The following is a 26,091-nucleotide window of genomic DNA, read 5'->3' as shown; positions in this document are numbered from 1 at the left end:
CCCAGGCTGGAGTGCAGTGGCATGATCTCGGCTCACTGCAAGCTCCGCCTCCCAGGTTCACACCATTCTCCTGCCTCAGCCCGAGTAGCTGGGACTACAGGTGCCCGCCACCATGCCCAGCTAATTTTTTGTATTTTTTTAGTAGAGACGGGGTTTCACCGTGTTAACCAGGATGGTCTCGATCTCCTGACCACGTGATCTGCCTGCCTCAGCCTCCCAAATTGCTGGGATTACAGGCGTGAGCCACCGCCCCCAGCCTAGAGCATCTTGATGGTGGCTGTTGTGCACACATGGTGTGGCCACTTAGGTGGCCCTCAGGTGGCTGCAGTTTGCCAGGATAGTCACATGAATCACATTCAGTCCGTTTTGTGTATTGCTGGCACCAAACAGCAGGTGGGCTCTGCACAAATGAAAGCTTGTCAGATAAACGTTTAGCCAACCTGCCCTCCTGATGTGGTCCACACACAGCTGTTCTCCACATCTTCTCCCCTAAGCACCATGCTTAGTTCAGAGCATTCTTTCAAAGTTGATGTCTGCATAGCGATTGCTTGGGGCCCTTGGACTTTAGACTTATGGCTGGGTCACAGAGAAGGGGGCAACCACACTGGGTGGAGCACGGGAGAAGAAAAGGAAGAAGGAGAGAAAGGAAGGAACAAGAGAATCCTACAACTATAAAATAATGATGCCATTTCCTTGTTCACCAGGATAAGGGCTCTGGACAGCTTCAAAAGTTCTTTTAGCAGATGTCGTTTCTTTGGTATCAACTTACAAACATTCATACTTTGAAACACAATGCTCATTAATTGTGTAAGCTCCCATACATCTGAGTATTGAGCTTGGAGCCTCTGATGTCCTTGACTCACACTTTTCCTGGTTTTCTTAGGAATGACAGATAAAAGGAAAAGAGAAATAGTCTGTTGATCCAGCCAGGACTGTGTCTCATTTGTCTTGATATCCACAGAGCCAGTGCCCGGTGTTACAGTGGGTGCTCAGTACAGTTCATGGAATTTCGATGAATTTAATTGCAGTCTGCCATTTCAAGACGACGTACAGGACTCACAGCCAACATGATAGCCTTAAAAAAATTCATACTCAGCTTTTGTGCCTTTGAGTGTGGTCAGAATTCAAACTAGTATTAAGGCTTTTTTTCCACTACAAGGGAATCAAAGGACAAATCACTTAATATGAGTAAGGGCATAGTTCATGAATTTTAGGAGCAGAGATACATTTAAAAGCAGGTTAAAAGTCAAAGCAGCTGGGCCTGATGAGATGGCAGCTTAAAAAAAAAGAGAAATATTTGACATAAGCCTAGCATCCACAACCTGACCTCTAATATTTATACCAGGAGACTTACAGGGAGAAGGTCAAACTGACATTCCTACAGCATTTTCTGTAAAAGCCGTAGGGTGGCCCAGAGTCTACCCAAAAGTCTCCCCATGGATATCTGAGAAAAACTATGCCCTTCAATCTTCCTTGATTTCATGACTAATGAAGATGCATTTCTACTTTCTGATTTATTGCAGTTAAAAAAAAGGTAGGAATTACAAGGAAATTTGACAAGAAATTTGCCCAGCAGAGGTTGATAGTATTTCATTGGTATAATTAGATGTGATGGGCTAGGTGTTGCCTCCCTTGGTTTTCATACCCTTTGAAATGCTTTGTACAGTGTGGAGCACATAACTTGTTAGGTGATTTAATAAGATGTTTGTGTTCATTTCTCTGAAAAGTCTCTGGCCTAATTATAATATTTTAATGGGAATATCACATTCAGCTTTTAGAGTTTGATATAATACCTTCTGTGACACTGTGCAAGCATAAACCCCCCTCCCATTGTCTCTGATTTTGTTTCTCTGTGTCTCCAGCTCTTATTTTCTCTGTCTGTCTGTCTCTCTTCTTGAGTTTTAGTCTGTATGAGAACCCCTCAGGGAGCCTCATTAGATTTCAGTTTTCTAGCCCTCTGCCCATATTCTGATTCATCTGGCCTGTGAGGGGGTCTGAGGATCTTCATTTTAACAAGAATGTTCACCCAGGTGATTCTGTTTAGGTGATCCACAGATTGCACTTCAGGAAACATTGATCTAGAAACAGAGATATACCAATGGGCCTATACATTTGCATATGAGCAAGATAAGTTATGCACACAAAGTTTATCACCAAAATTCATTACTTAATAAAGATATAAACTTTCCGCTAATGGTTTACCTGGTTAGTCTTTTTCTATTTGTCTTATTAGCACAGACTCTTTTAACTTTCATATCTTTGTCATTTTCAACACCCTTTATTATGTTTAGATTTGTTTGTTTCACTGTATCAATTTTCTTCAGTTCCTAGAAACAAAAAAAAGCCTATTTAATTCTTATGTGTAAAATTCAAACAGTCTTTTCCTAAATCATTGGTTATAATATCTAGATTTTTCTGGTCCCATGCTGCTAGATGTGGAATGTTGGAACAGGGGTTCTTAAGCTTCCTTTGAGAGTTGGAGTGTGAAGTACTATATAAAATGCCACAGTGAATTTAAAATGTTCAGTATATGAAAAGCTAATATATTTCTTAGTTAAACATGCACGGATTTACCATAAATCCAAAAATTTATATATAAATTTATATATAAATTTTTCATTTTTTTCTCTTTGCAGCCTTACACTGGCCAGAACTTCTAAAACAATATTCAATAATATTAATAGTTTGCTATTTTACATTATATAAAATATAAATTATATATTACATATTATATATAATTTATATAAAATATAAATTAAATATATAACATAATTTTTATATAATATATAATATAAATTAAATACATATTTATTATAATACTATATAATATATAAAATATGTTATATATTACATATAATATATAATTTATTATATATAATATACAAATTAAATATATTTATATATAATTTTATATATTATATATAAAATTTAAATTATATATTTGTTTTATGTATATATAAAATGAAAAGCAAAATAGTAAAGAGTAAAGAGCAAAGAGAAAAAGAAAAAAATGATGATTTATATGTGTATATAAAACTTTTCTGTGCATACTATATAATCAACTATGATTAATAAGAGTATTCATAAATACAACCAGAGAAAAGAAAATTTAGAAAAGCAAGAACTTTCTAACATACCAGAAATAACCTATGAAAATGTGATCCAACTCACAATACCAACAAAATGTCTGAATTGATAATGGAAATGATTTCTAACAAGTAGTGTCACAAATAAAGTAAACTAACTACCGCAGTTTATTAAAATGTAAATGATGTTCTGAATAAGTGGAGATAGACATAACCTGATTTTGGATAGGAAGGCTGAGATTTATAAAATGCCAATTCTTTCTAATGAATTTGTAGGTTTCATATAATTCAAAACAGTTCCAAAGGCATTATATTCCCAACATTGATAAATGATTCTAAGGTTCCTTTAGAAGAATAGCAGCTAATAGTTTTTAAAAACTTGAGAAAGAAGCATAAGAAAAAGGAACTTAGCACTTTTAGATTTAAGAGTGAAGACTGGGCTGGGCATGGTGGCTCACACCTATAATGCCAGCACTTTCGGAGGCCGAGGCGGGTGGATCACCTGAGGTCAGGAGTTCGAAACCAGCCTGGCCAACATGGTGAAACCCCATCTCTACTAAAAATACAAAATTAGCCAGGTGTGGTGGCACATGCCTCTAGTCTCAGCTACTTGGGAGGCTGAGGCAGGAGAATCACTTGAACCCGGGAGGTGGAGGTTGCAGCGAGATCGCGCCACTGCATTCCAGCCTGGGCAACAAGAGTGAAGCTCTGTCTTTAAAAAGAGAAAAAAAAAAAAAGAGTGAAGACTGAATAATCAGAAAAAAGTATGAGACTATCCAAGATCAGAGAATGGGATTAGTGGATCAGAAAAACACAGAAAGGAGACAGACTCTTTTATGAATGTATTATGTCAAAATTAAATGTCACAATCAAAAATTGATTTTCAGAGTCTAGTGTTGAGGTAATTGTTTAGCAGTGGGAAAGAAAAATGAATCTTATGTGCTAGTCCCTCGCCAGACACCAATGTAAATGAGAGAGGGATTTAAGAGTTTCAGAAAGTGAGAGAGAGGAAGAGGGAAAAGAAAACGAGGAAAGTCACGTGGGACTTTTTCATTTCTGATATTATGGCAGGTTACTGCTGATTAAAACTAAAAATTCTGAATAAAATACAAAAAAACTCTTCCTGAATGTAACAAAACCTGACAAAATAATAAGGAATTATCAGCTTAAAATCTTACTGAACAGGAGTACCTGGAGGAAGCAGGGCAGGAAGCTGCTTTTGCCCCAAGAGCATTTGCCCAACCTGGGGACCTTAAGCCTTGTTTTTCAGACCTCGAACTATGGAGAACAGGAATTGAAGCCCAGGTGGGTGTCCAATGCCAGACCATGGATCATCAGCCTGGGACACCAAAGTGCCACACTCTCAGAGTGAGGATGATCCTCAGGAAGTCAGCTCTACCACCCTCCACACCAGGAAGTGCAAGCAGACTCACCTCATGATTGAGCAGAATAAGAGAATCCTTGAGAAGTCATAAGTTTGCATGGATTTGCAGCACAAGTTCAAACAACTAGATGGCACCAAATCCCTCAATTTATGAAGACATTTAACGTGGTACCCAATTGGAAACGCCTCATGGCAGAAACAAACATAAATCCTTTCTAGAAGGTTGCCTTGTCCAAGTGTTTCCCAAACCAGTTTTTTTAGGGAAAATGCACAGCTTACTATAAAAAAATTTTAACCTAAACTTGGAAATAAGGAACCAGCAGAAACAGGTCTGCAAATATTTCAGATATTGGAAGTATCAGACACAGATTTTAAAACAACTATACTTAAGATGCTTAAAGAAGTAAAAGGCAAGCTTTAAAATTTATAGACCATAGAAAATATTTAAAACAATCCAGCATGTTTGAAAGAGAGCCAAATAGAATTTCCTAAACAAACAAACAAACAAATGAATCAATTGAAATATACACCACCACACACCCCACACATGGGAGATTAGATGCCTCTGAAGAGAGAATTAGTGAACTGAAAGATAAGGAGAGAAGAAAGTACCCAGAACATAACACTAATTGACAAAAGAAAAAAAATCAAGAAATTTGAAAGAGAAATGACTTGAAGGATAGAGTGAGAAAATCTAAAATATATCCAATCAGAATTCCTTGAAAAAGAGAGAGAGACTGAAGCATAATCAATATTTGATGAGATAATATCTGAGAGTTTACCAGAATTGATGAAAGACACTTATCTTGAGATTCAGGAATTTCAGTGAATCACAAGTAGGGTAAATTAAAGAAAAAAGAATCCGCACCAGACAAGCCATAGTGAAAATGCAGCATGCCAAGCACACAGACCAACTTAAAGCAGGTAAACAGAATGAACAGATCTCATTCAAATGGATGAGAGGCTGCAAGCTCCCTTATCAAGAGCCCTCATGGAAGCCAGAAGACAGTTGTTGGATATACTTAATGATGTGTAAAGAAAGTAACTACCAAGCTAGAACTTTACTCCTAGTGAAAATATCTTTTAAGGATAAAGGCAAAATAAATTTTAGAAAAACAAAAGCTCAGAGACCCTCATTACATGTAATTCTGAAGATATTTTTCAGTAGAAAGTGACCTTGTGTTAAAAGTAATTTGAGGAGAAAAAAAAAGATTTAAAAAAAAAAAGTGGTCTTGGATGGAAGATCTGATTTGCAAGTGAACAAAAAGAAAAGAAAGTGGCAGGTACATTGGCAAACCTGAGTAAATATTAACTGCATTAAACCATGATAAGACTATATAGTTGGCTTAAAAAATGTAAGGTAGAATGAAAATACATGATAATAATAATAAACAAGTTTAGACGAGAGGAGAAATGAACTTCAAGTCGTCAGAGGTCTTCGTAATGTCCAAGAGAAGAATAAAGATACAGATTGAATGTCCCTAATTCAAAAATCCAAAACCTGAAATGCTTCAAAATCCAAAACATTTTGAGCACCAACGTGACGCACAAAGGAAGGGAGTGTTTTGCATTTCGGATTTTCGGATGAGGGCTGCTCAGCCCGTACCATTAACTTTGGTCTGTGATAAATTAGGTATGCATGTTGGAATGTTTTGTGCAACTACTAAAGGAATAGAAACAAAGCATGTAGCTTCCAAATCCAAACAGAGGGAAAAACGGAAAACTAAAAAATAGAAGTGATTCACAAATAACAAAAGGAAATTGGACTAATATGTCATACTATACTTAAAAGTCAATTCCAGGTAAATTATAAGCCTAAATATGAGAAAATAAAACCTGAAAGCACTTAGAGTCATAATAATGGAAACTACTTTTATGATAGCAGTGTAGGAAATAATTTTTTAAAACAACACAAAAGATTCAAATTAATTAAAATTATGACCTTTGATTTATTATTTTAAATTTTACAGAAAAGAGACTAGTGTCTAGATGAGTATAAGATTCCTCTAAATCAATAAGAAAACCAGATATCTCCATTGAAAATAGGCAGAAGACTTGTACATACACTTCACAAATGAGGAAATATAAATGGCCAAAAACCATGAATATATGGGCAACCTCATTAATCATCAGAAAACTCCAAATTAAAATCACACCGACTCACCATTTCAAAACTACCAGACTAAAAAAAATGTAAAGTTCTCAGAGTACTAAGTGTTGACAAGTGTAGAGCAAGAGAATTCTCATGTATTGCTGGTGGGAGTGTGAATTAGTATACACATTTTGGACAAAAGTTTAATAACATAAAGTTTAAGACATGAATAGACTGCAGCCAGCAATTCTACTCCTAGGTACTTATTCTGGAGCAAATCTTGCACATTTGCACCAAAATACACATATAAAATTGTTCATAATAGCACCTTTTCATGAAAGTGCCAAATGAGTATTCTACAGCAAAGGAAATAAACTTATTACAGCTAAATGCAATGCATGAGTGAATCTTAACCACGTAATGTTGAGCAAAGGAAGCAAGACACAAAATAATGCATATAGTATGGTACAATATATTGAGTAAAAATGGGCAAAATTAAACAGCTTACAGTTGCATACCTAAGTCGTAAGTAGTGAAATCATTTTTTTTTTTCAAGCAAGAAAATGATTTTCACCAGTCAGGATTGTTGATGGGAACCTCCAGAAGGCGAGAGAAGGATTTTTGATCAGATAGCCACATACAAGAAGCTTCTAGGATGCTGGAAATGTTAGATTAATTGAACTAGTTGGTGGTTACAGAGGTGTTCACTTTATAATTATTAAACTGTACATACTTATTATATGCAATTTATGGTTACCTGTGTCACATTTTTTTTTTTTTTTTGAGACGGAGTTTCGCTCTGTCGCCCAGGCTGGAGTGCAGTGGCGCGATCTCGACTCACTGCAAGCTCCGCCTCCCGGGTTCACGCCATTCTCCTGCCTCAGCCTCCCGTGTAGCTGGGACTACAGGCGCGCGCCACCATGCCCGGCTAATTTTTGCATTTTTAGTAGAGACGGGGTTTCACCGTGTTAGCCAGGATGGTCTCGATCTCCTGACCTCGTGATCCGCCCGTCTCGGCCTCCCAAAGTGCTGGGATTACAGGCGTGAGCCACCGCGCCCGGCCCTGTGTCACATTTTAAAACAGTAAAATAAATTTTCAAAAAATATATTAAATAAAATCAAATATTTATCCAAAATATACAGAGAAAATGATTTTTCAGACTTAGGATCCATAAAATAAATAACACACACACAATACCCCGAGTTAGATTTAAGAACATAAAAATTTTAAACTTCTGTATGTAAAAAAAGGTGGAAAAATTTAAATAATTTGATACAGTACTTGTGGCAAACTTAGGAAAGTTAAATATCTTTCTAATACCAACAACCCTTATAATTTGATTTTTAAAACCCTATAGGCAAATTATATGTGTATCATTTGTATATAATTGTACACAAATATGTATATATCTGAGCTCCAAAATGAAGCCATTTGAAATTTTATATAAAATTTAGGAACAAATTAAGTAAATGTATGAAATAATTACCATTATTATGAATTTAAAAATGCAAATTAAAATGAGGTGGCATTTTTTTTGTACACATCATTAGCACTGGAAAAATTAGTGATGGTGCCAATTGTGTCAAGATGAAATCTCTTAGACATCATTTGTGTTTATGTAAATTATTATAATCATCTGGAAAAGCATAATTTATCAAGGATTGTGAAATGCTTACAACCTATGATAGAGTAAATGTATTTGCTAGAGTTTTTCTAGGAAATTAATTCAAAATATGAAAAAAAATTAGTATATAAAGATAATGATTTCAGCATAATTCATCATGGTAAACAATGGAAGGCAACCTAATAGTAGCAGTCAAGGGATGTTTGCACTATGAGTCGTTCAATTTCATTCACTAAATTAATGTTTTGAGTGATCACTATGGCATTGTATGTGTATGATATCACAAGATGGAAAATTATTTAACCACTAAATGATATTAGTGAGCCTATACAATTATATATATATAGCTTACAAAAGAAAATACTGTGGAAAAGGTAGAAAATTATTTGCACACTAAGATTAGATACTTATAAAATATGCATAGAAATATTCATATACATAATGATTATAGCTAGAGCCTGGTTTAACATCAACAGGAAAAATACTGGCTCAGAAAACACAAAAATACTAATACTGTTAATGTCAGGCTATAATGATTGTGAATGATTTTCCCCTCTCTTCTCTATGTTCTAGGGTGCTGCAATATTATTGTGTTATTCTATAATGGGAAACTTAATGAATAATAAAAATTACAAAGACCTAAATTTGCTTTTTGCTTCCATCTTGCAGTATATTCCCTTTCACACTCATTTTTGTAATATCTAACACAGTAGAATTCACTATTAAGACATAGGACATTTATTAAAAGGAAACAGATACTTAAACTCTTGTTTTTTAGATAAGTAATTTAACAGAGTCACAGATTTTTTTAACCTTCAAACGTGAAGGAAGAGGGCAGTACCAGTAAATTCTCTTTTTATATTACAAAACTAAGATCAAAATAAAATATACCTACCTGAAAAAACCTACATATATTTATATCTTATAGAAGGTGGAAAGGTATATACATTTAAATGAGCAAAAAGTTATTTAACAAGAAAACCAACCAAAGTTACAAACTTTTTAGAGCTTATTAAAGGCTGCTTTCACAGGACACAGTAGCAAGCTCTGAAGTTCAGGTGTTTTACAAGATTCCTTTTAAAGATATTTTTATTTTTTAAAGAGATTTTATTGTGTATATTTAAAGTATATAACACAATGTCATGAGGTACCTATAGATAGTAAAATGGTTACTATAGTGAAGTAAGTTAACATATCCATCATCTCGCATAGTTACCCATTTTTATTTGTTTTTGTGGCAAAAGCAGCTAAAATCTACTTATTTTGCAGGAATCCCAAATATAGTACAGTTTTATTAATTATAGTTCTCATGTACATTAGATCGCTGGAGTTGTTTATCCTACATATCTGCTACTTTATAATTTCTAACACACATATCCCCATCTCTACCTCCCCCATGCCCATGTTAACTACTGTTTTATTCTCTATCTCTGTATGTTTGACTCTCTCTCTCTCTCTCTCTCTCTTTAGATTCTACATAAAAGTGAAATCACGCAGTATTTGTCTTTCTGTGTCTGGGTTATTTCGCTTAGCAAAATGTGCTCCAGGTTCATCCATGTTGTGGCAAATGGCAGGATGTCTCTTTTCATAAAGGCTGAAAAATATTCCATTTACATTTATATTAGAATTTCTTTATCCATTATTTATCTGTTGACAGACACTCAGGTTGTTTCCACATCTTGGCTATTGTGAACAGTGCTGCAATACACGTGGTAGCACAAATGTCTTTATGGCATGGTGATTTCATTTCCTTTGGGTATATGCCTAGAAGAGAGGTTGCTGGGGCACGTGGTAGTTCTGTTTTTAGTATCTTTTTTTTTAAATATAGAGATGGGTTCCCATTATGTTGCCCAGGCTGGTCTTGAACTTGCAGCCTCAAGCAATCTTGCCACCTCGGCCTCCCAAAGTGCTGGAATTACAGGCGGGAACCAACACACCTGGCCTATTTTTAAATTTCTTTAGAACTTCCATATTATTTTCATAATGGGTTGCACCTATCTACATTCCCACCAAAAAAAAATATATTATTTTCCAGGATAAAATTTTTGGAGCAGAATAATATCTGCTTTTTGGTGGCTTTGGGGAAAAACAACTGTTTCCTTTTGATTTTGCTGATGGTATTTTCAGCAATATTAGGAGAGCAGTCTAGTTTCATTAACTAGCATCAAGAGTAAAAAGCTCAGTAATTACCATTTGCCATCTGTATATCTCCTTCAGTGAAGCGTCTGTTCAGAACTTTTTATCATGTGCAGCTGGGGATGTAGGAGGGTGTTGTTTGTTTATAGGTAAATGTCCTTTGTTGAATGTGGGTTTTATGAGTAGTAATTTTTTTTTCCCTAGTCTTTGGCTTGCCTTTTTGTAAGTGTCTTTCGAAGAGCAAAAGTTTTACATTTTTGTGATGTCCAATTTATTTAATTTTTTCTTTTATAGTTCCAACTTTTAGTGCTCCATTTAAGAAATCTTTGCCAAATCCAGGATCATTAAGATTTCCTCTTATGGTTGCTTTGAGCAGTTTGATGGTTTGTTAGGTTCATGATGTTGAGTTAATTACTGTATGTGCAGCAAAGTATCAAGATGTTTTTGTTATTGTTTAATTTAATTTATTTATTTATTTATTTATTTTTATAGTTGGCTATTCCATTGTTCCAGCACCTTTCATAGAAAAGATTATCCTTTTCTTCATTTAGGGGATTTGTCATTTCACCATTGCACTTTTGTCGAAAATCAATTGGTCATATATCTGTTGTGGCCTATTTCTGGACACTTTATTCTTTTCCATTGATCTAGATGTGTATTTGCACCAATACCATCAATACCATAGTTACTGTGCTTTGTAATAAACCTTGAAACCAGGTATTGTATGTCCTCCAACTTTTTATTTTTCAAAGTCGTTTTAGCTATTCTAGGGTCTATTGCATTTCCATGTACATTTTTAAATTAGCATGTTCGTTTCTAAAAAAAATTCTGCTAGAATTTTCATTACAATTTCATTGAATTTATCAATCAGTTTTGTGAGAATTGACTTATTAACAATACTGAATCTTCAAATCCAGGAATGCAGTATATCTCCCCATTTATTTATTTAGTTTATCTGTTTAGTTTCTCTCATTTCTTTACTGATGTTAGGTGGTTTCCGTCTTGCACACTTTTTTTCTCAAATTTATCCCTAAATATACTTTTAGTGCTATTATAAATAGTACTTTAAATTAAGTACATGAAAATATGTTCATCATTAGTCATTGGAAAAGGCAAATTAAAACCACAATTAGATACCACTCCATTAAGGTTTCTCAACCTCAGCACTGTTGACATTTTGAGCCTCAGAATATTTCCCTGGTTGCAGGGAAGTGGAGGTTGGGGGTGCTGTCTTGTGCATTGTAGGATGTTTGGCTGCATCCCTGGTCTCTAGCCACCAAATGGCAGTATTATTTCTTCCCTTCCTCAAATTGTAAAAACCAAAATGTCTCCAGATACTGCAAAATGTGCCCTAGGAGGCATATATTCACTAGCATGGTTAAAATTTTAAAAACTATTGACAAGACTATGGAGCAACTGGAACTCACACATGCTGCTGTTGAGAATGTAAAATAGTTACAACTACTTTGAAAACAGCTTGGCAGTTTCTTTTTTTAATTTTGCTTTTAATTGACAATAATTGTACACATTTATGGGGGTACACTGTGATGTTTTCATACATGTATGCATTCTGCAATGATGAAATTATGGTATTTAAAATATCACCTCACTTATTTATCATTTCTTTGTGGTAAGAATATTGAGAATCCTCTCTTCTAGTTATTTTGAAATACACATTATGATATTGTTACTATTGTCTTCCTACTATCCTGTAGAACACCAGAATTTATTCTTTCTAACTATAATTTTGTATTCATTGAACAATCTCTCCTCCCCCTTCCTTCTCCCCTCCCCAGCCTCTACAAACCACTATTCCACTCTGTACTTCTATGAGATTGGCTTTTTTAGATTCTACAAATAAGTGAACTCAGTGGTATTTGTCTTTCTGTGCCTGTCTTATTTCACTTAACATAATGTCTTCCAGGTTCATCCATGTTGCTGCTGCAAAATGACAGGATTACATTCTTTTTTATGGCTGAATAGTATTCCATGGGGGTGTGTTTGTGTATATCACATTTTCTATATATTTTCTATATATGATATATATTTCATATATATCATATGCAAAAATGGTATCATATATAAAATGTGATTATATATATTATATATTTATTGGTTTATGGCCACTTAGATTGATTTCATATCTTGGCTATTGTGAATAATGCTGTATTAAGCCTGGGAGTGCAGATATCTCTTCAACATACTGATTTTATTTACTTCGAAAAACACACAGTAGTGGAATTGCTGGATCATATGGTAGTTCCGTTTTCAATTTTTTGAGGAAACTCCCCATACTGCTTTCTATAATGGCTGTAGCAATCAAGATACATTTCCACCAACAGTCTGTAAGGTTCCTTTTCTTTCACATCCATACCAGCATTTGTTGATAATAACCATTCTAATTGGGATGAGATGGTATATCATTGTGGTTTTGATTTGCATTTTCCTGATGATTAGTGACGTTGCACATTTTAAAATATTTTTTGGCCGTTTGTATGTCTTCTTTTGAGAAATTTCTATTCACGTCCTTTGCCCAGTTTTTAATTGGATTATGGCAGTTTCTTAAAAAGTTAAGACTAAACCTACTACATAACCCAGCCATTCTTCTAGGTATTTACACAAGAGAAAAGAAATAACATGTCCAGGGAAATGTTCATGAATATTTGTTGCAGCTTTATTTAGCTGCAAATAGCCAAAAACTGGGAACAAATTCAAACATCTACCCACAGGTGAACAGATAAACACATTGTGGTATATCCATACAGAGGAATACTACTCAGCAATGAAAAGGAATGAACTGTTGACACAGACGACACCATGGATGAATCTCAGAATAAGTACACTGAGTGAAAGAAGCCAGACCATACATATTTTATGAATCTATGTATATAACATTCTAGAAAATGAAAACAAGAGGCTGAGGCAGAAGGATCACTAAAGACAGAAAGTCAAGGCTATAGTGAGGAAAGGGATAGATTAGGAAGAAGCAAAAGAGGAAACATTGGGGTGTAATGGATGTGCTAGTTATCATAATTCTGGTTATGGTTTTATGGGGATATATATAGTCCCATAATTTATATATATCCCCATAAAACCATAACCAGAATTATATATATGTTATATAATTTATACATGTAAAATATACATATAAACTTGTTAAGTTGTATACTTTTACTTTTTTGAGACAGAGTCTCGCTCTGTCACCCAGGCTGGAGTGCAGTGGTGTGATCTCGGCTCACTGCAACCTCAGCCTCCTGGGTTCTGCGATTCTCCTGCCTCAGCCTCCCGAGTAGCTGGGACCACAGGTGTGAGCCACCACAACCGGCTAATTTTTGTATTTTAGTAGAGACAGAGGTTTCATCATGTTTGGCCAGGCTGGTCTTGAGCTCCTGACCTCAAGTGATCCACCTGTCTTGGCCTCCTAAAGTGCTGGGATTACAGGTGTGAGCCACAGCGCCCGGCCTAAGTTGTGCACTTTAAATATATGTGGCTTTTTGGTACCAATTTTATCTCAATAACTATTTAGAAATTATAATATAGGAAAGAAATGGGTGGAGAGAACATTTTAATAAATAGAGAAAGGCTGTGTAATGGTCTGTATTTACACGGGATACTCATGACACTGATAGAAATCACAGTGGAATTCCCATATATCATCCAACTGTGAAAAAAAGGTTAATAATAATTCGAGCTCATTCCTGCTTCTGCTTTAAGAAACTTAGAAATGCAGCCTTCCTTCCTCCCCACTCCAGCAGTCATACTGGTGGCCGACTGTTTTCCTTTTAGACAAAGATGATTAGTCAGTTAAACATAACACATGATTTTAAATTAGAATATTCGGGAAAATGTTTATCTTCTTTCAGATAAACATTCAGTAATTTTTAAATGACATAAAACCATGTTAATGAAAAATAGGAGAGAAAAATTAACATCTCCCCACAGCCAAAAGATGCAGTGAATTACAGAATGTTCCTCTAGAAAGGTCTGGTCTTTCTTAAACATTTGGAATGATAGGAAGCAATATATGGCCTGTTGCTAAAGTAAATTTTTGGTGAATTTCTCTGATCACAAGCATTTCATAGATTCAGAATTAAATTCCTATGGTTATCACTGCCCCAAAATCAGACACCATTAATTACTATGAATAAATCTAGGGTCCCGACTTTTTCACTGTTTCTTTTTATCACTTTGGATGATAATACGGTCAGCAAGCCAGGAAGGAGCATGACTTGCAAGAAACCCCACATTTTAATTTAAAAAACAGTGATTTAAAAGGCATAAATCCCTTCGATATGAGAAAGGGAGGTATAAATGTATTGAAGATTTCAGACTTTTCAGGTAACAGTGTGATACCTTCAAATGATCAATAATTGTGTAATATAACTAATCCACCTCTACAGAGAGAAAAGAAGTGATGGTTCCTCCTGTTTGCTTTAGATTGTTCAGCCAGCAATATTGTGCTCCATTGGAGCTAACAGGCCATTCTCCATCTATCTGCATTCACAGCATTCTCAGGCTGAACTTTGCTTTGTTTTCCCTAGCCACTGCTTACACTACAGTTTTGTATGAAAAAGTATTAGTGAGTTACTGAACATTTCATTGTCTGCATGTAATGTGTGTACCTCTTGCATATATCTATGTATATATATAAATATAAACATACATGTATATATAAATATATGTATATATAAATATATATATATATAAAAAATAATTTTGAAGTGGTTTCTTTAATTCACCAGTGATCTGACTGGTAAATTAAAATGCAAAATCTGGTCTAGTCCAAAGCAATAAGAAACGTATAAGAGGTTTCTGTTTGTTTTAGCCAGGTTTTTGGAATGTTAAAATCCAAGACACCCTAAAGCCACATAGAGATGATTAGCACTTTGACCTCCTTTATCAGACCTTATCTAAGTCCCTTTGGGGAGCTCTCTGGGAATCTCATATCTGATCTGTGTTTGTGGAAACACAGATCAGATACAAGAACCTTACAAGAACCTCATGCCTCTTACTTGTGTAGAAAACCTTTCTTCTTTCTATGGTTAGCACCCAGACACTAACCTTGCAGTGTGTGATTCCTCTCCCCCACCACTCTCCCCCAGCCCACCTTAGTCTTCCTGAAATTCCCTAAGCAGAAGCTAATGAACAGCCCATCCAGTATGTGCCAATGAGTGTGTCAGGTAAGTGATGGGCTGGAAAAACAGTTTATCTTGGGTCAATGTCCTGCTGCTTGATTTACCTGGTTACACAGAGTTGCTGAGAGAAATGAAGAGTCGCCTTTACCGCTGGTTTTCTCTTTCCAGACGGATGTCTTAAAATGGGATCTCATCGTCTGCGCAGTGGTTGCTGTCCTCTCATTTGCAGTCAGCGCCAGCACTGTATTCCTGTCATTGCGAGTATGTATCCACCAACTTTGTACTCTTCCTGCCCCCTTATTCTCCTTAATAACAAAGCTGTCATGGAGCTACAGGGTATTGACAAGACACGTGAGCCAGAGAAAGAAAACAAAATGCCCGCTGAGAGGCTTAGGGAATGAATCCATGTACTGTGAACAGTTATGTCCAAGATGTGACTTGGTCCACATCACAGATAGGGTTCGATTGCTTTATCCTTACCCTTTCCTGCATCTGGGGAGCTGTTTTGTTTGCAAGAATGATGGCACATCTTGTGGAATCCACTGTGAGGACAGTTAATAGTCATATGGTGGGCTAACAGTGCTCTACTATGAATAGAGAAAAGAGGAGTCACCGTATCGGGGTGAGGCAGAGGTCACAGAGCCAAAAGGACTATGGGAAAAGGATTTTCAGTTAGAAAAACAAAGTGGGGAGCTCCAGATGGGATTCCTGGCTGTGGTCCTTCCAGACAGTTGCTTTCTCTATACAAAAATATTGTCCATCCATGAACTCCCCTTTTCATGAGGAAATGTCTGTGAGCTGCATGGGTTATTCTTCACCTCCTCATTGGAAAATTTTAAAAATGTATTCCAAGGGGCATAATTCTGTTGGCCTCTGTATTCCATAGGCTAGTTCTCCCTCACCCTCATAGTGGTTTCCAACACATGAACCAATTTCATGGTATAGAGAAGACATTTTCAGAGGCCTGAAACAAGAACTGAGTCTGGCTATCCGTTAAGAGGAAAAAGTGGAAGGACAGTGATGTTATGTATTATTCATGGGCATCCCTCTCCCCATCCTCTAGGCTAAGTAATGAGATTCTGCCCATTTTTATCGCAGCCATTTCTCAGCATCGTGCTGTTTGCCTTGGCTGGAGCCGTGGGGTTTGTAACACATTACGTGCTCCCTCAGCTCCGCAAGCATCATCCCTGGATGTGGATTTCACACCCCATTCTCAAAAACAAAGAGTATCATCAACGGGAAGTGAGAGGTTAGTAATATATCCCTCATTTAAAAAAAAAAAAAAGGAGGGGTAGGTATACATTAAACCGGAGAGCATGTGCAACAGTCTGAATGTACTTAATGCCACAGAACTGTACACTTGAAAATGGCAGATGGTACATTATGTGTATTTTACCACAATAAAAAAGAAAAAAGGAGAACGTGTACCTTAGAGTATATGGTATTTGTTCCCAGATATTCTAGCCAACCATAACAAGAAAGTTAAAGCCAGGTGAATCAGAAGAATGTTTTTTAAAAATATTAATTGGCTATTGGTATTGTGGAAAAATTATATCATTCACAGTTGAAGATTATGCTGTTCCCACAAAAACTGACTGGGGCCTAAGAAGAGCATCCCTTGACCATGCTCCCATCCTTCATGAAATGATGGGGATGGAGAAGGGCCTGACCAATAACTTTACACACTCCTGAACACTTGCATTTTCTTTAGCTTGCTTTGTTCATCTAGGCCTACACCTGTATCTACACGTGGTTGACTTGGCAATTTCCATGGGTGTCTCTGGCCATGATCATGTAATAGCCTGGTAATCACAACCATTTCACAGCCTTAGAGAAGAAATAGATTTCTTCTAGATAAGAAGTCTTCTAGAAATTTTTCTGCTAGATCTTTCCTTGCTCTGTAATTCCCTGTTCTGTGCTTGAATGGATGGAAGAAGACTGATTTATCCACAGTTTTAGACCCATCAAAGTTATTGCTCATAGATTATAACTGCTGTCTAATGCTGCTGATTCTGCACAGAGCTGTTTAGCCTATTGTAACTTCTCAGTTGTTAGCGAGTTATCTAATTGTCTATATGTCCAAGCATAAAGATAAGTGAGGGGCACCAAGGTTTGTGGACTTAAAGTACTGAACTCAGCCAAATTTGTCACCAGCAACTTCAGTAGACTGGTGTGACAAAAGGAAAAGGGGGAAAATAATTTTTAAAATAAATATGCAAGAGTCACTGAAGATGCTGTCCAGAATAGAGAGTGCTTCCATAAGGAACATCTCTGGGTGGGCACAAGGAGCCGCCTTAGTTAGAAACAGCCCAAGTAGAAAAACTGGCTTGTTCAGTGGAGAAAGATGGCCTCGTCGGGCTGCTGGGGTTTAGAAGTGCAGGGAGGGTAACTCAGACTTCTCTCCCCTTGGAGACTTACTCTTCCCACCTACAGAATCAGGAGCCAGCATAAAGATGGAGCTGCATAGTTTTAAACGTTCTGTACAATTCCGTGTACTACTGAAATGCAAATTATTATCAGTATTAGAAAAACTGAAAGAAGATAGACTCACAGAAGGTTCCATCTATAATGGTTTGTATATTTTAGTCCACTTGTAGAGGAAAGTCCCTACCCCAACAGGTGACTGCTTCTGGATACATAGAGGACCCTGATGAAAAAGACCAGTTTCTATAGAACTTCTGCAGCCTTCAGGTTATATTTCCCTTTCATTCAAAAACCTCTAGAAAGACTAAGTGTTGGTGAAATTAGTGGAGTGTTTTGGGGTTTGTTATTTTGACATTATTGTTAAGTTAGTTGATGAAGATTTGAAGTAAGAAGCTTTAACTGCATATCTATATCTATATTTATATCTGTACCTGTACCTGTACCAATACCTTTACCTATACATTTCCTTATATTTTTACTTTTGTCTATATCTATACCTTTACCTGTTTGTAACCTACACATTTGCCTATACCCATACCAATACTTACTTCTATACCTTTACCTTTACTTCTATATAACTTTATCTTTACCTATACCTGTACCTGTATCTATACCTTTACCTTTATCTATACCTATACCTTTATTTGTATCTATAACTTTCCCTGTACCAATGACTATACCTATACTTTTACCTTTACCTGTACCTATACCTGTGCCTTTCCCTATACCTATTCTTAAACTATGCCTATGCCCCTGTTAAATGTACATATTTAAATACCTTGGGGTGTGCAAAGAGAACCTGTGAAGCTGAAGGAAAGGAAAATGAGACAGATTAGACTTGGGCTTCCCTTAGTGTGTGGCAGTTCAGAGTGTAGAATTCAACAGTGAAAGATAGGAGTGGGCCATTAACAACTCGGTTTCTGGTTTTTTTGTTTTGTTTTGTTTTGTTTTTCTCTCCTGCATCTAAGACAGCCCCATTTAAATTAAAATCATTTAGCTATTTCAAGCCTACATGGCTCTTTTTAGTACAAGATTCAAGAACAAGTAAAGTGAGTGTGTTTGTGTTTCTGACTTCCCCTCTCGGAGGATGAGTGAGTGGGTGGCACAGAGTCCTTTTGTATCCCATAGAAGTAGGCTGGGAGGGGTCCACACTTGCTTACACAGTGTCAGGCAGAGGCTCTGTGCAAGTTTCTCACCTACCTACACTAGCTATTTATAAGCAGCCTGAAATCTAGCCGGGAGTCACAGGTTAGACAAATTAGGCACATGACGAAAAACAGATTCCATTTCAAAATTAGGTGTATTAGAAGGAAAACCCACAGACACAAAATTTAAAGATGATTTAAGCCCAGTTACCCATTCTGGTGCCATCTGTGTCCTGAATTTCCTTGCCTCTTCTTCCTGGACTTCTGCCTCTTAGGTTTTGACTCTTCATTTTTTTTCCACCAGCATCAAAACATGTACAGGTAACTCAGGCCAGGCACACAGCTTTTCATGTGAAAGTGATGCTCACATATTCTTTCTCATAGGAGCACAGAATATTGTCACTGGGAAAGAAGGCAGGGCAGAGCAGGACTAGCTAGTGTGTAGCCCACTGCTGGGACACAGTGGTTCCAGGGCAGACATCACTAACCAAGAACAGAGTCCTAGAACTGGGCTGGTGGCAGACATTTCTAATCAACTGGAACAGTAAGATAAGGCATATGTGCTGCCCCTGTCTTAGAGTTTATTATATAATCCTATCCCACCATTTTACATAGATGGAAACTGAAGCCTAGGGACAGAAACATAACTTGGGTCCCACTGATTTTGTGGCCAGTGAGTGACTGGAGCCCAGGTCATTTCACTACCCATGTTGCTCTCATTCTGGGTGGGCAATCATGTATAGACTGAATGTGGCTCTAAGGCTGTTTTTGCAATCATCACTACCCAGAAGAGCCATAAGGCTACAGTCACAGTAGGTCCTGTAAAGTTTGACATGCCATCTTCTCATGCTAACACTACCAGGCTTCCCTGATTTGATAGAGACTTTCCACAATCGATTCTAGGCATTCTTGTGGCTTCTCAAACACTCTGCTGTCCTTGCTCCTCCCTTTACTAAGGATGCCATTCCTCCAGCTTCACTAGACTGACACCAGGCTGCTCATGCTTCAAGTCTCTGCGTTTTTTGTTTGTTTGTTTGTTTGTTTTGAGACTGAATCTCACTCTATCACCCAGGCTGGAGGGCAGTGGTGCAATCTCGGCTCACTGCAACCTCTGCCTCCTGGGTTCAAGTGATTCTCCTGCCTCAGCCTCCTGAGTAGCTGGGATTACAGGTGCCCGCCACCACACCCGGCTAATTTTTGTATTTTTAGTAGAGATGGGGTTTCACCATGTTGGCCAGTCTGGTCTTGAACTCTTGACCTCAAGTGATCTGCCCGCCTTGGTCTCCCAAAGTGCTGGGATTACAAGCATGAGCCACCGTGCCCAGCCCACGTCTGTTTAAAATCGGCCCCTCCAGAGAAGTCTTGCCCCGACCACCTAAACCTGAATAGATTCCCCACTGCTCCCTGAGCCTCCCTTCCATAACCACTTGAAACCACTGGTGCCTAAGGTAGACTGAGCTCCATGTCAGCTAGCGCATACTCCTCCTCCAGTGCTCACGGCAGTGCTTGGGTGTAGAGAGGGAGGCTCACAAATGCTGAACTGCGTTTAATGTAACCATCATCACTTCACTCTGTAGTCGCTGGAACAAACTTTAAACTTGGTGCATATACTTCCTTTTGGCTTACTTTCCTTTCTGCATACTTTGAATATGTACTTCTACTTGGTAGAATGTGGAGATAACGAATAATTTTGGTATAAAATTCAGACTGTGATAAATGGAAATAGATATTATAACTGAAGTTGAAGACTGCATGTTGAAACATATCTTTTTTAGTCAATTTAATTCTTTACCTTTGAGACTAATTTATTGAAAGTAAATATTATCTCCTCCCAACCTTGATATGCTGTTTCACCAATATTTGAATTAGGAGAGTAAAATTCTATCACTTATAGTACAGTTCAGCATCAGATGAATCATGATGGTCATGGGGACACAACTGAGTTATATTAATGTGTATATGTGAAGTTGCTCTTTTAAAAAATTGCCATATTTCCCCCCAAGCTAAGTTAATCATGCTGAACATGAAGACAGCACAATAGGCAACTGCATATTATTCTAGCTTGGGGTTTTTGACACTAAATGTTAAAGGAGTACTCATATTTTTAGAAAATAAAGCAAATTAATTTTCCTGAATTATAATGATTCCAGACAAATGACTTTATTGATTGATCCCAGTCATAAAGAAGTACAAAGTTGGACCTGATTGAAAATTTGTTTTATCTTAAAACTTTCCAAAGGAATTATTTCAAAAAGCAAATATTGGGGTTGAGTCACATTTCACATGGTCCTCCAAGGTAATGTTTCCATAATATTATGATTCTTGGCTTTTAAGAATTAAAAATAGTGACCTGATTTGATGACTGTACTCTTACCATACAAATGGATTACAATGGAGTTAAAAGAGATTGAGACAAGGAATAAGTATGGTATTGAGATTCATTTATTTACTTGTTTATTCACATAGAAAATGCTTATGGATATACTAGTCACTCATTCAGAAAATAATTATTGAGTTCCTACAAGATGCCAAGCCCTGTGAACCAGTGACGTAGGAATGACTAAGATGTAGTTCCTGTCATCCAAAAGCTTATAATCTGGTAAATAAGCCTATGGCTGTGTCACCGTAGAATTGTGACTGCTACACACATACAGTAATGTGGGCCGTGACACTAGGTTCCGCCCTGCAGGAAAGACAAAGAAACAGTAGCTGGGCATGATGGTATGTGCCTGTAGTCCCAGCTACTTGGGAGGCTGAGGCAGGAAGATCACTCGAGCCCAGGAGTTAGAGGCTGTAGTGCACTATGATAGTGCCTATTGAATAGCCACCGCACTCTCGCACTTTAGCTGGAGCCCCATAACGAGTTTCTGTATCTTTTTTTTTTTTTTTTTTTTTGAGACGGAGTCTCACTCTGTTGCCCAGGCTGGAATGCAGTGGCTCGATCCCAGCTCACCCAACTTCCACCCTCTGGGTTCAAGCAATTCTCATGCCTCAGCTGCCCTACTAGCTGGAATTACAGGTGTGTGCTACTATACCCTGCTAATTTTTGTACTTTTAGTAGAGACAGGGTTTCACTATGTTGGCCAGGCTGGTCTCGAAATCCTGGTCTCAAGTGATCTGCCTGCCTCGGCCTCCCAAAGTGCTGGGATTATGGGCGTGAGCCACCGTGCCTGGCCAAGACTCTTTCTCTTAAAAAACAAAGTAAAAAGAAAGAAGTAAAAGGCTAATATCCTAAGTGAGGAGCTTACAATTAATTTCATGTATCATTGCTTAAATCTTTCCAACTTATTGATATGCATATAAAATGGAAAATATATGGAATTATATAATTAAATGTTGCGTTGATATCTGGTGCATGGCAGATAGTCAGTAAACATTGGAGGAGAAAATTAATGATTAATGCTTTGTAAATTCACTAAAGGAAGGTTTTCTATAGGCTGATAAGGGCATACAAAGCCTCTTGAAGTAAAGGGTAGTTTGGAGGATTCACATGTACCTCTGTGCCATACTGAAAAGCTTAAGCTATACTTTTTGGATGCATTAGAATACATTTAAAAGGATAATATACATTATAAAACACATAGGCCGGGCATGGTGGCCCACACCTGTAATCCCAGCACTTTGGGAGGCTGAGGTGGGTGGACCATGAGGTCAGGAGATCAAGACCATCCTGGCTAACACGGTGAAACCCTGTCTCTACTAAAAAATTACAAAAAATTAGTTCGACTTGGTGTTGCACGCCTGTAGTCCCAGCTACTCTGGAGGCTGAGGCAGGAGAATCGCTTGAACCCAGGAAGCAGAGGTTGCAGTGAGCCGAGACCACACCACTGTACTCCAGCCTGGGTGACAGAGCAAGATTCCCTCTCAAAAAATAAAACAAAACAAAACAAAAAAACACATCAATTAAACATCTATTTAAATTGTAATTTAAAAAAATCCACTATTACAAAACATTCACTAATGGGTCCCAAATTTGCAATTCTTAAATGAGATTTACTTTGCATTTTAGCAAATCTTGTCTCTCAGTTTACAGATAGACTAGTTTCTATGTGATGCACATGATTCTGAGAGCTCTTGCTTTTTATAATGTATTTTTCACTTATATCAAAATAATACATAGTATTAAAAATCAAATAGAACAAGTTGTAATGAAAAGCAGCAGATTCCTGTCAACTCCACCCTCCTGCCCCATTTCTGATTTTCCCTGTACAGAAAAAAAATACTTTCTGCTCTTTAAGGTATCTCTTCTGGTATTCTTCTAAATAATGATCATGTGCGTGTTCTGCTACTTCTTGGTATTTTAGATTTGTTTATCTACTGACTTTCCATTATAAAAGATAAGAATTTATCTCTCTTATCTTCCCTTATGCATTAGCATTTTCACTTTCCTCCTTCTCCTAATATAGTTTTAATATATTTGTTGAACTTCTACTCAGGCTCTTTTTTAACTCTTAAGTCTAAACGTTGTTCACCTCTGAGTCCAGTAGTATAGACCTTGATTATATTTCTTATTCAAATGTTTGTTTTTGTATTTGCTCACCATTCCAATAGCTATGTAGTATATTTCTCATTCCAACTTTCCACACAGACGAATCTGTCACATAATCTATTAGCTCCGTCCTCCCTCCCTGACTCCCTCCTGGAACCTGCTGCAAGTTTCTGTTTTTGTTTACTCCCTTTTTTGGAGTGAAGCTTGTCCTCAGTCGCCCCTGAGAAGAGGCACATGAGAAGAAACTTTCAAGAGCTCCTCTGCTCAAAGTGTTTTATTCTACTTCATACTTCAGATAGTTTGTAGTGTGTAGCCTGCCAGGGTGTAAGCGTTATTCCATTGTCTTCCAGCATCCACTGCTGCTGCTAGAAAGTCTGAGGTTTTTTGACTCTTCGTCTTTTGTTTGTGACTAGGTTTTTCTCTGCAGAAAGCTTTTGGGAAGTTTAGGAGATAATTATAATGTTATGGCCCAGCCTTGGACAAGACTGGGTGGGCTCAAACCCTGGTTCTGTCGCATATTAAGTGTGCTTCGCCATTGTGATTCAGTTTTGTCTTCTATAATTGGGAATTCCTACATTAAATATAAAATCAATCGAAGAAGAAATGTAGCACCTTTAGCCTAGTCATTGGCAGACAGAAAGCGCTCCCTAAGTGCATCCTCCTCCTCTTCCCAGGGTTCTGAAGTCTCATCAGTTTCACCTGACTTTGTGCCTTGGGAGGCTGAGGTGGGTGCCTGGCACCCATTGTGCTAGGCAGTTGGTGGCCCTTTATAATCTGGATGTACATGTCATACATACAGTTTTGAAATTTTCATCAATAGGTCATAGTGCTATCTGAATGCCTTATTTCACAGAATTTGCGCAGTAATTAAGTGAAACTCAATAATATATGTAAAAATGCTTTCAAATGTATCTAGTGTTAGTTAAAGTAACATGGCATGAGAGGCACTGTCTGATTTTGGAACATAAAACTATGCAGGGGTCTTTGGAAAGAGGCTTTCTTTGCTGTGGCTAGAGGAGGAAGGATGTATTCCTTACCTCGCCTTTTTCCCCACATAAGAAAGATGCTAGCTTCAGGAAGTAGTTAGAGACTTGGAAAACTCTTCAAAGTGTCTTTAATTCAAAATTACTAAAATAATTTGAAGCATAAACTGAACTAGTACTAGCAAAGTAACATAGTCATCATGTGCTATGATACTGGTATGGAAAGTGCATTTCAAATGCCAAATAAGTGACTTCGAGCTGAGTTTTTAGAAACCAGCCTGTCAGTTGGAAGCCTGCTTTATTAATTATTCTCTCTGTTGCTATTATTTTCCTGCACCCTCTCTTCCCCTCATTTTCCCTTCCTCCCTGCCAGGCACTCTCATACTCTGGCTGATCTCCTCTGGTCCACTGGGAAACTTATCTTCCTGCGTCAGTCTCCACAAGGCTGGAGGTGGCCGCAGGGGTTTGGCAGTGAAGCCAAGTTACACTGCAGCGGGAGGAAAAAGAAAAGTGGAAATCAGTTACCTCTGCTTGCAGCAGAGAGAGGCAGAGGGAGGTCTGGAGAAGCTCAGGCAAAACTGGGCTAGCATTAAAAAGGCTGGGCGCAGTGGCTCACGCCTGTACCCCATCTCTACTAAAAATACAAAAATTGGCCGGGCATGGTAGCAGGTGCCTATAATCCCAGCTACTCAGGAAGCTGAGGCAGGAGAATCACTTGAACCCAGGAGGTGGAGGTTGCAGTGAGCAGAGATTGTGCCATTGCACTCCAGCCTGGGCAACAAGAGTGAGACTTTGTCTCAAAAATAAATAAATAAATAAAAGATAGAAAGACAGGACTTGGGACAGAGCTCAATGGTTAGCTGCCAGCCTCAGATTCCAGCTCTCCAGCAAGCCACAGGGTGTTTATCCAAGACCCGTTAGGATTCTCTTAAATTGCTGATAAACCTAATGCAATATGGAGCTAAAATGAATGGTCAGTAGTGGGAGGGATACTTAAACAACTAACACTAAAAGTCAGGAAGTTTTAATATGCTGCGTGCAATATATGCACAATGGTCCTACAGTGGCTTTGGGCTATTAGCACAACAAACATGGGAAAGGCTAAAGAGAGCATTTTGAAGAATGATGTTAGTTCTCAGCTGCAGTCGGTGTGGCCACTGTGGTGAGCCCTGACTCAGTCTCCCTAAAGTAGGTCTGTTGGAATCTTATCAGAAGTAGCTTAACCTTCATAGCTCTCTAGGATAGGATGATATATGGATAGGCCATGGAGAAAATAGAAATGGTGTTTTTAAGTAACCTTGTAATTTAAATAACATACAAATTACACTTTACTTGAGGGAGGATTTCTTCTGAATTGGACATTTATTGAGCACCTGCTATGTCCTAGACACTGTTCTGGGCGTTGAGGATGCAAAAGTAAGCACGTTGTCCTTGCTCTTGGCAAGATGGTTATTCTAACGAGAAGCTCTGTCTACCCTGTGGCCACAGTGAGAGCATTTGGAATTCTCTCCTAGCCCTCTTCATGTAAAAATGTTGATCTAACCTTTTTCATGTGAAAAAGGTACAAGTGGTTCTATTCGCTTTTTCAGTTT

General features: G+C 37.5%; 1 protein-coding gene across 8 annotated transcripts in view; it reads left to right on the top strand.

Annotated features, from left to right (window-relative positions):
* Positions 1-26,091, top strand: part of PCNX2 (pecanex 2) — a 343,895-nt gene that overhangs the window by 150,340 nt on the left and 167,464 nt on the right. For all 8 annotated transcript variants that reach the window (XR_001737430.2, XM_047430870.1, NM_014801.4 and 5 more), the window contains 2 exons: positions 15,627-15,719; positions 16,557-16,707. Coding sequence is in view for 7 of the 8 variants with exons in the window: in XM_047430870.1 (XP_047286826.1) it covers positions 15,627-15,719; positions 16,557-16,707 (244 nt within the window). In the remaining variant the exon portion in view is untranslated. The remainder of the gene's footprint in view (positions 1-15,626; positions 15,720-16,556; positions 16,708-26,091) is intronic.

The sequence above is a fragment of the Homo sapiens genome, chromosome 1 (genome assembly GCF_000001405.40).
Source record: "Homo sapiens chromosome 1, GRCh38.p14 Primary Assembly".
In the NCBI taxonomy this organism is placed as follows: domain Eukaryota; kingdom Metazoa; phylum Chordata; class Mammalia; order Primates; family Hominidae; genus Homo; species Homo sapiens.
This window is presented reverse-complemented; position numbering and strand designations above follow the sequence as displayed.